The sequence below is a fragment of the Homo sapiens genome, chromosome 8, assembly GCF_000001405.40.
Source record: "Homo sapiens chromosome 8, GRCh38.p14 Primary Assembly".
Taxonomy (NCBI): domain Eukaryota; kingdom Metazoa; phylum Chordata; class Mammalia; order Primates; family Hominidae; genus Homo; species Homo sapiens.
The window spans coordinates 7,410,763-7,421,477 of record NC_000008.11 but is presented as its reverse complement, the minus strand read 5'-3'; the positions used below and the strand labels follow the sequence as shown (position 1 = coordinate 7,421,477).

The 10,715-nt window shown below is 41.5% G+C and overlaps 1 protein-coding gene and 1 pseudogene across 1 annotated transcript; one reads left to right on the top strand and one right to left on the bottom strand.

Moving 5' to 3' along the window:
• On the bottom strand, positions 450–2,692 carry HSPD1P3 (heat shock protein family D (Hsp60) member 1 pseudogene 3; annotated as a pseudogene).
• Positions 4,615–6,623, top strand: DEFB4B (defensin beta 4B). The gene is made up of 2 exons (NM_001205266.2): positions 4,615–4,708; positions 6,381–6,623. The coding sequence occupies exons 1-2, from the start codon at positions 4,651–4,653 to the stop codon at positions 6,515–6,517; spliced, it is 195 nt and encodes a 64-aa protein (NP_001192195.1). The 5' UTR covers positions 4,615–4,650; the 3' UTR covers positions 6,518–6,623.
• The last annotated feature ends 4,092 nt before the right edge of the window (positions 6,624–10,715 follow it).

Here is a 10,715-nt window from a genome sequence, read left to right as displayed (position 1 = left end):
GTGAGTTTTTAAATGTGAGTGTATTACTTTTATAATAATAATGTTAAGCATGGTAGTCATTAAGAATGTATCGATCAGGAATGAAGTCTCACGTGAAAAAGATGGCAACCAGGCCCTTAATTCAAACTCTAAGCCCCAATAAGGTTCTTCTCATAGTACCATGACATTTCCTTAAGAATATTTACTCAACAAATTAAGAGACATGACAACCTGATTTGATGTGCAAATCTAGATTAAACATGTATCCAGAAACATCAACAGCCATGAAGCCATGGTTGGAACAATTGGAGAAATGTGAAATATTGACAAGATAATAAATAACATTGAGGAACTAGTTTTCTTAATGTGTGTAAATTGTATTGTGTTTGATGTGGAAATGTCCCCTCATATGTAAGAGATTCTGCTGAGATAATTACAGTGAAGTGTCATGATGTTTGCGTCTTTCTTTTTTAACTTTAAACACATTTTTAGTACACAAAGGTTGTCACATAATTGGAAGTTTCTCTACTTTGTACACAATTATTCTCACTCTGCACAGAAAGGCTGCTTAACTTCTCATTTGGTGGTTGCAAGCACTAAAATCCTGATTTTAACAGAATAGACTACTATTCATTTTTACTAAAAAATGCCTCAGTGATTTAAGTTGAAAACAGTACATCAGTACATGGCTCTTGTACCCAGTGTCAGGAATGTACAAGATCTTTCTATTCAAAAATACAAACTAAATTATCTGTAGGCATGGATGACAGCTGTAAACCATTATATATTTTGTCAGTTGAAACCAGTAACTGATGGTTATAGTGGTTTCTTAAACATCAGCCAGCCTTTTCTTCATTTTCTCCAACTGACTTCTCTGAAGTTATTGGTGAGGAACACTGCCTTGGGCTTCCTATCACAATTCATTAATAAAGGTAAAGCACTATTCTAGGAATTAGAACAGGCCACCTCCCATTCCACACATTGCACCCATTCCAGGGCTGTTCCCTTCTTTAGGAATTTCTGTGACTACAACAGCTGCTGTAGTTAATAGAGAGGCCATGCCAGCAGCATCCAATGAAGCAGTTCTCACAACCTTTGTTGGGTCAATAATGTCTTTTTCCACCATATTCACGACATCTCCTAACATAGTATCATAACCAACTTCTGAGGAACTTTACATAATTTTCTCAACTATCAAAAATCCATCAACACCTGCATTCTTAGCAATTGTCATTGCTGGAATTTTGAGTGTTCTTTTAATAATTTCTATACCAATTATTTTATCTTCATTAGCTGGAGTGAATGAGTCCAAGGCTGGAATGCATCGAAGCAGGGCACAACCCCCTCCCTAAACAATGCCTTCTTCAACAGCAGCTCTTGTAGCATTAAGTGCACCTATAACTCTGTCTTTCTCTTCATTCACTTCAACATCACTTGTCCCACCAACCTTCAGCACAGCTACTCCATCTGAAAGTTTCTCCACTCACTTTTTCCTTTTCGTATTCACTAGTTGTGACATCTGACTGGTCAATGATTTCTTGAACACATTTTTCAATTTGAGACTTGTTACCTTTTCCTTTTAAGAGCATGGCATAATCTTTGATCACAGTGACCTCTCCAACTTCTCCTACGTCACGAGGCTGAACGTCTTCAAGATTTAGTGTCAGCCCTCTTCTCCAAACACTGTACCACCAGTAGCAATAACCGTATCTTTAAGCTGGTTCTTTCTATTGTCACCAAACCCTGGAGCTTTGACTGCCACAACCTGAAGACCAACCTTTAGCCTATTCAGGATGAGTGTAGTTAGAGCTTCTCCATCAATGTCTCCAGCAATTATGACCAAAGGCTTACAGTAAGCATTGGCAATTTCAAGAGCAGTTACAATGGACTGGACACTAGAAATTTTCTTTTCATGCAACAGAACATAGGCATCCTGGAATTCACATTTCTCACCTTTTGATGTATTAATAAAGTATGGAGAAATATATCCTCGATCAAATTTTCATGCCTTCAATAATTTCTAATTCATCAGTCAGTGTTTTTCCATCCTTTACTGTGATGATGCCCTTTCTTCCAAACTTTTTCATTGCATCAGAGATGATGTTACCAATTTCTTTGTCTCCATTTGCAGAAATTGTAGCAACCTGTGCAATTTCTTCAGGTTTGGTCACAGGTTTAGACTGCTTTTTAAGTTCAGCAATTACAGCATCAACAGCTAACATCACACCTCTCTTGATTTCCACTGGATTAGCACCTTTGCTAACCTTCTGGAAGCCTTATTTGGAAATAGAGCATACCAGTACAGCAGCAGTGATAGTGCCATCCCCCAGTCTCTTCATCTGTGTTATTGGCAACATCTTGGACAAGTTTAGCTCCAATGCTTTTATATTTATCCTTTAAGTCAATTGACTTTGCATCAGTCACACCATCTTTTGTTACTTTGGGACTTCCCCAGCTATGTTCAATAATTACTGTTCTTCCCTTTGGCCCCATTGTAATGGCTACAGCCTCGACAAAAAGTCTACACTTTGAAGCATTAAGGCTCGGACATCATCACCAAATTTTACATCTTTACCATCACTTCAAGTGAGGTGAGGAGCCAGTAGCCTGGACACTGGTCTCATCTGGTGAAAGACTGTGGGTAATGGAAGCATTTCTGTGGGGTGCTGGCAGGACATGTGCATGGCGAGGCAGGTCATCAGCAGCAAGTGAGAGCTGCCTCTTACTTTCTAAAGGTGACATAGCAAATATACAAAAAAAAATAAATAAATTATTAATTTAGGTAGAGCACATAAAGGCTTTATTTCATATTCCATTTCTCTGTATGCTTTCTTCACCAGGAAGAAATAGTTTTAGTGTCAGGAATGAATGAGTCTGCCCCTCAATTCCAGCCTGCTCAACACACAAGGAAACAAAGCCCTGACAATCAGAGTGACTCCCTGGTGACTAAGCTCCAGTCCTGGATGCATATTTGTTTAGCAGTTCTGACAGCATCTGACCCAGCCCTCTCTTTGCATACCCCATCAGAACCTTCTTTTTTTTTTTTTTCTTTGAGACTGAGTCTTGCTCTGTCGGAAGCGACTCCCGTGCCTCAGCCTCCCAAATACCTGGAATTATAGGCGTAAGCCATCATGCCTGGCTAATTTTTGTATTTTTCATGGAGATGGGGTTTTGCCATGTTGGTCAAATTGGTCTCACACTCCTGACCTCATGTGATCCACCTGCCTCAGCCTCCCAAACTGCTGGGATGACAGGTGTAAGCCACCATGCTAGGCTCAGAAATTTCCTTTTATAAAAATGTCATTAAGGATCTTGGCTGCACAATATCATTACCAGCTTCCTTTAAATCCACCTCTGGCCTGCCAGGAATCAGGGTTCTTCAGAACCTGACATTTTAAATGAAGAGGTCAGGCAGGTCATGAGGAAAGCCTCATTGTCCCCATGTCTCTGTCACTGCTGCACCCCTGAGACATCACAGACATGGACACTGGGGCCTGCTTGTTTCTCAAACTGCCCTTAGATCGAAAGAGGGAGGAACCAGGATGAATGCCACTCATTTTCCCAAGAAAGGCCCTCTCCTGAGTGCCCGGGATGGGGCTCTGTCCATTGCCTGGGGCCGCCAATTGCTACTCTGGGTTACGGAGGAAGGACAGGGTCCTGAGAGACACCAGAGACCTCACACAGCCCTGAAAACATGGGGCTCCTTCATAAGTGTTTCCCATCACCAACAGGGAGACCACGTGGAGGCCTTGCAGCCCCACTCGGTGCTTCTCCACCAAATCCCAAGGGCAGTGACGCTGACGTCTGTGGAAAGCAGAGAAAGCCCTGGCTCCCAAAGCCCTGAAGTCCTGTGGAGCTGACATTCCCTGAGTGACGGTGTGAATGGAAGGAACTCAAGTGCGGGTGGTAGGCCACCTCCTGGCCCAGGCCTGGGTGAACTCTGAGGGGACACATGTAGTCACAATCCCATCCTCCCATTCTCCTTCTCAGAGGAAGGAAGTGGGCATCCATCTGCCTCATCTCTCTCCCGTGGGGAAGATGGGGAGTTTCAGGGGAACTTTCACATAAATTTCACCAGCTCAGATCTCCTGTGAGGATGGGGCCCACCATGCTCCCGGTGCTGCCAGAGGCCCTGAGCCCCTCCCAGGGTCCCTGGGTTTGAGCCAGCCCTGTATCATCCCCAGGAGCTGAATGTCCGAGCAATGGATAGAATTAGATGGAAAGAGCTCTCAATTTGGCCTGAGACTGTCCCCAGATACTCAGGAAAAACAGGACGTCGCACAGAGTGGGCAGCAGGTGAGTGGCAGGTTATAGGTCCTGAGTTTGAGTTTGTTCTCACGTGAGACAGACCCAGCCCCTCACTCCATTCACACACTGGGTTTTAAATGGTGCAAGATAGGAGGAATTTTCTGGTCCCAAGAGCAGGAGGAAGGGATTTTCTGGGGTTTCCTGAGTCCAGATTTGCATAAGATCTCCTGAGTGTGCATTGTTCTTTGAGGACCATTCTCTGACTCACCAGGTAAGTGGCTGAATTCTAACCTCTGTAATGAGCATTGCACCCAATACCAGTTCTGAACTCTACCTGGTGACCAGGGACCAGGACCTTTATAAGGTGGAAGGCTTGATGTCCTCCCCAGACTCAGCTCCTGGTGAAGCTCCCAGCCATCAGCCATGAGGGTCTTGTATCTCCTCTTCTCGTTCCTCTTCATATTTCTGATGCCTCTTCCAGGTGAGATGGGCCAGGGAAATAGGAGGGTTGGCCAAATGGAAGAATGGCGTAGAAGTTCTCTGTCTCCTCTCATTCCCCTCCACCTATCTCTCCCTCATCCCTCTCTCTCCTTCCTCTCTCTGTGTGTCCCCTCCATCCTTTTCTCCTGCTTCTCTCTCTTCTTCCCTCTCTCTCTTTTTTTCTGTCTTTCTTTTTCCTCTCTCCCTAGAGCATGTCTTTCTTTCTTTCTCTTTCCTTTCTTCTACCCACACTTTTAGACTGAATGCCCTATTTAATTGAACCAAGCATTGCTTCCTTCAATAGAAAAGGAGTTTGAGAACCCAATGGACACCTCACTCGTTCTTCTAAGCCAATATGAAGGAGCCCAGTAGCTTGTAAATATCATCTCTTCACTGCTTTCCATGCTACAACTGCTGAGACTATGGTTGAAACCTGTTAGGTGACTTTTTAAATAAAAGGCAGAAATTTTGATTTTATCTAAAGAAAGTAGTATAGAATGTCATTTTCTAAATTTTTATATTTAAAGGGTAGATACTGCAACCTAGAGAATTCCAGATAATCTTAAGGCCCAGCCTATACTGTGAGAACTACTGCAGCAGACACTCTGCCCCCAGGACTTTTCTGATCAGAGGCCCTGAGAACAGTCCCTGCCACTAGGCCACTGCAGGTTCACAGGACAGGGACAGCCCATTGAAACCAACTTTTAAACCTGGATGCCTAACCTTCATTTTCTCCTTGATATTATGAAAATAAAATAAAAACCATGAAAGGATAAAAGAGGGAGAGTGGAAGGGAAGGATGGAGAAAGGGAAAAAGAAAATTTGAGAGTAAATCCTAAAACAATTAATCTAATAGATATCATCTTGTGAAATCCTCATTTTACCAATCTTATTTATGAGTCCTGGGTTTTGTGAGAACAATGGGGTTCTGAGAGGCACCAGAGACCTCATGTTTTCCAAAACCTAGAACAGTATAATGAAGGAAGGCGGGGAGGCAGGGAGGCAGGGAGGCAGGGAGGCGGGCAGGTGGGGAGGGAGGGAGGGAAGGAGGGAGGGAGGGAGGGAGGGAGGGAGGGAGGGATAAAAAAAGAAGAATGAGGTTGAAACCAGGACTTAGATATTAGAAACAAGCCATTACAAAATTTATTTCTATGGTTAATTGTGGTTTTCAACTGTAAGTTACTTGGTGTTAATTTCCTATTAAACAATTTCAGTAAGTTGCATCTTTTTATCCCATCTCAGATCAAATACTTAACAGACTAAATGATTTGAAAAAGCAAAAGTTTACTGGCTTGTGTGTGTTAAAATGGAGGTATGGTGGCTTTGATATTATCTTCTTGTGGTGGAGCTGAATTCACAAGAGATCGTTGCTGAGCTCCTACCAGACCCCACCTGGAGGCCCCAGTCACTCAGGAGAGATCAGGGTCTTTCACAATCAGGTTCTACAAAAATAAACATCCCCCAAACCACAGCAGTGCCAGTTTCCATGTCAGAAACTTAGATCCAAATGACTGACTCGCGTCTCATTATCATGATGGAAAAGCCCAGGCTTGAGAAAGAAGCCCGCTGCGGATTTACTCAAGGCGATACTGACACAGGGTTTGTGTTTTTCCAACATGAGTTTTGAGTTCTTACACGCTGTTTGCTCTTTTTGTGTGTTTTTTCCCTGTTAGGTGTTTTTGGTGGTATAGGCGATCCTGTTACCTGCCTTAAGAGTGGAGCCATATGTCATCCAGTCTTTTGCCCTAGAAGGTATAAACAAATTGGCACCTGTGGTCTCCCTGGAACAAAATGCTGCAAAAAGCCATGAGGAGGCCAAGAAGCTGCTGTGGCTGATGCGGATTCAGAAAGGGCTCCCTCATCAGAGACGTGCGACATGTAAACCAAATTAAACTATGGTGTCCAAAGATACGCAATCTTTATCCTAGTAATTGTGGTCATTGGGTGATGTTGGTTTGGGCAGGCCATCTCTAATATCCTTGAAACACCTTTTTCTGCTCTCCAGGAAGGGGTCAGGGCTGCCACAGCGGGGCTTGGAGTGCTTTCCAGGGTCACAGGCATCTGTATTCTTTGGATTCCTTGACCTTCCCCATTTATTCCCGGCATTTTCCTAAAACGTGTGCTTTGCTCCTCCTGCATCCTCCCCTTGCATGCCCTCACCTACCCCACATCTTCCCTAAAAAAAGCAAGCCCAACTCAAAGACCAGTTCCCTCATGGAATCATAGTGGATCTGCCAAGGGAGGGGATGCCCAGTCCTCTGTTCTTCACAAGGACTCCCTTCTTCTGGCTAAGGTTTCTTATGCAATTATGCCTCCTACAGAGGTGCGTGAATTTTTAATTCTCCATTTAGCTATGAGATTTCTACTAGTGTGGACTTTGTCTTATTCATTTATGTGCTGGCCATTCATAAACTATTTCATTAATTGGATGGCAAAATGCAGTTGTACAAGGGTTTCCTTACATACAAACATAATAGGATCCAAGTAAATGCTGTTAAAAACAAGTCTCTTTGAGGGCACAATTAAATGAGGACAATATGGCATGGGACACAAGCAGAGGGGAGCAAACCTCAAGAAGAAAGACTCATCGACTCTAAGGGGGAGCATCAAGATAGCTCCCTGGCCCTGCTCTCTCTCCTTGGGAGGGTTTGGTCCTTAAATCATGAACTCTGTGGGTGTATCCTAGACGCATAAGAAGCTCTCTATTTCTTCACATTAGCTCTGCACTGAATGTGCATATCATCTACGTCTGGGAAAATGCACCTTAGTTCCAAAATAATCCATTGTCTTTCCTAATCTCAAGATTGAAAAAAGTAACCAGACCTTGTTAGAGTAAAAGCATTTTTATCTGGATATAGATTTTATCCAGACGTGATGACAGAGCCAGGACTAGGGCGAAGCGAGGGAGGCTCTGGCCTCAGGTATAAAATGTAAGCACTAAGATATCCTGTACTTAAGATAGATGATCTTATAATGCGATAGATTTTTAAAAAATAATATTCATGAAAAAATCACCATAATTAACAAACTCTCCAAAATTTAAACCAAGACAGGGTCTAATCCTGTGATTGTCCAACTCAGTCGCACTCACCTACCTTGATGCCAGGATAGTCAGACCCTGCCTTTATTTAGTCATTTAATATTCATCGTATATACGTTGTTATTTTGAATAAATTAGTGGATTTCTTGATTCCTGGAAGCATATATCATTTGACTGTATAAAAGAAGTGAAGCTTCACACACACACAAAAAGTAAAAGTCACCATGACAATGACATTCATTCCTATGTTCTAGGGGAAACAGCACAACTCTCTTAGGAAGAAACTCTCCTTTTATTTAAGAAGGCCCTTTAATGGCTGTTTAGGTCTTGGAAGATAGGACACCTGACTGCATCTGTGAAATAGAGATACAATCCATAAGCGCTAAATCATTCTACAATTCTAAAAATAAAATGTTAAAGGTTTCTTGGCCCTCAGAGATTAACAATGAAAGGAGTTCTGGGTTCCAAAAGGAGCAGGTATACCTGTAACATCAGGGCACAAAGTAGCCTGTAGAGGTTATTGCCAAGAGTGGCTGAACTCTTTAGCTAGAATGCACTCTGATTTCTATTCTTATTTTTAACAGTTCTGTGCATTAACCACCCGTCATTATCCTTATGTTTTTGCAAAACTGTGTCTCAATCAATTGCTGTGTATTTGAAAATTCTTGGAAAAGGGGGAAAGCCTCAGTAATTCTTAATGCAAAGCTACAAAGAAAATGGGTAGTTGGTTGCAGGAGTGAGGTGGAGGTGGCCAGAGAATGTCACACAGAAGACAGAAATAAGAATTTGCACAAGATATTAGGAGCATAAGCACCTGTAGGGAGTTCTGAGAAACATTTGGCTGTCTACACTAATGAGGAATGGGAGCTGGAGCTGTTTAATTTGGATGGTCAAAAATAGGATAACTCCGGGAGTTTACAGAATTCACAGAATCCATTCCAACCAAGTGAGCTTGCAAGTCATACTCTAAGTCTCTGAACCTGTGAACTCATGACATAACAGAATAAAATTGTTCCCATTTCATCGTGCCTGAAGACTCATAAGAAAAAAAAAAAGGTATTAATTTTAAACACTGAAGCTCATTCATCATTTTATTGAATTCACCTGGCTACAAAATTAGCAACTGATCTTGTTCCAACTATATTTAAAGCAGATGAAGAAACTCTCCAAAGAACAGGGTTTGTCTGAGACTAGTCTAGGTAGAGTTTACTTTTGACACATCCTCTTGGTGTTTTCAGAGCTTTTTGAATATGTGGAATAATATCATTGCTTTGAGCAGATTTTCAGCCATTAGTTCTTCAGTTATTGCTGCTGTCCCTCGCTCATTTCTCTTCCTGGAAATAGAATTGTCTAGATAGATAGAGAATTGGTCCAAAAGTAATTGTGGTTTTTGCCTTTAAAGGTAATGGCAAAAACTGCAATTACTTTTGCACCAACCATACGTATGTACACAAACACATATGCAATATGTGTGTATTGCATATATACTCAATGCAAACACACAGACACACATATACAAAGCATCCTTTTACTGTGCCTTCACATATATATTTATGCAATTTTTTGTATTTTTCATTATTTTATATCTCTGCACTTCAACCTGAAAATTTTCCACTGACTTGTATTCTTACTTTTTTTTTTTTTTTTTGAAACAGAGCCTTGCTCTGTCACCCAGGCTGGAGTACAGTGGTGTGATCTCGACTCAACTGCAACCTCTGCTTCCCAGGTTCAAGCAATTCTCCTGCCTCAGCCTTCTGAGTAGCTGAGATTACAGGTGCCCTCTACCACATCCAGTTAAATTTTTTTTTTTTTTTTGTATTTTTGGTAGAGATAGAATATCACCATGTTGGCCAGCCTGGTCTTGAACTCCTGGTCTCAAGTGATTCGCCTGCCTTGGCCTCTCAAAGTGTTGGGATTACAGGCGTGAGCCACCGTGCCCAGCCCACTGACCTGTGTTTTAATTCTTGGATCCTCTACTCTGCTCTGGTCACTTTGCTATTAATCCCATCTATTGTGATATTGACTTCACATATTGTATCAAGTACCAGAATTCAATTATTTAATATTTTTACATAAGACAGGAGAGTCTATTCAAAAATGAAAAGGGTCAGACATGTTTCAGATGCCCCAGCCTTCTTGGGATATGGGCTTTTTCATGCTAACATCTGTCTCTTAATGAATCCAAAATGAAGGAGTGTTTGCTTTTAAAAGAATACATTTCAGTGAAGGTCTTGATCAAAGAGAGATAATTAAAAAAACACTAAAGAAACATCAAAAAGATCTAATTGTAGGGTATCTGGGGGATGATAACACATCCAGGAAACTTTTTCTGAGAGACCTGTGATAGAACCTTAAATGTACTTTTCTTTGTTTTGCTCTCATATGTGAGCAACTTAGAAGAAACATGTATTTGTTTGTATTAATCCTACATGACTAGGGTTGACAGATTTAGCAAATAAAAGTATAGGACACTCAGTTAAATGTGAGTTTTAGATAAACAACATCCAGTTTATTGTGGCATTATCTATCTCATACTATTTGGGATTAAATACACTAAAAAGTTCTTCATGGTTTTTCTGAAAGCCAAATTGAACTTGGCCTCCTATATTCATCTAATAACACTATGAATCACTGAAAACATTTTTTCTTTAAAGATATTTTTCTTGGTGAAAGTATTTATTACGTCACTGAATTTTATTTTACTAGGTGTAGTAGGTGTAATAACGGCATCCCAAAGATGTCCATGTCCTTATCCCTAGAACCTGGGATTATGTTACACTTTACGGCAAATAAGAACTAAGACAGCAGATAGAATAGTTGGCTGATATGCTGACTTTAAAACCGGGAGATTAACTTAGATCATGTGAATGAGACCAACGTAATCCAAGAATCCTTAAATGTGGAAAAGAAAGGCAGAACAGTCAGTGTCTGGGTGATGCGATGTGGGAACGACTCAACAGCCATTGCT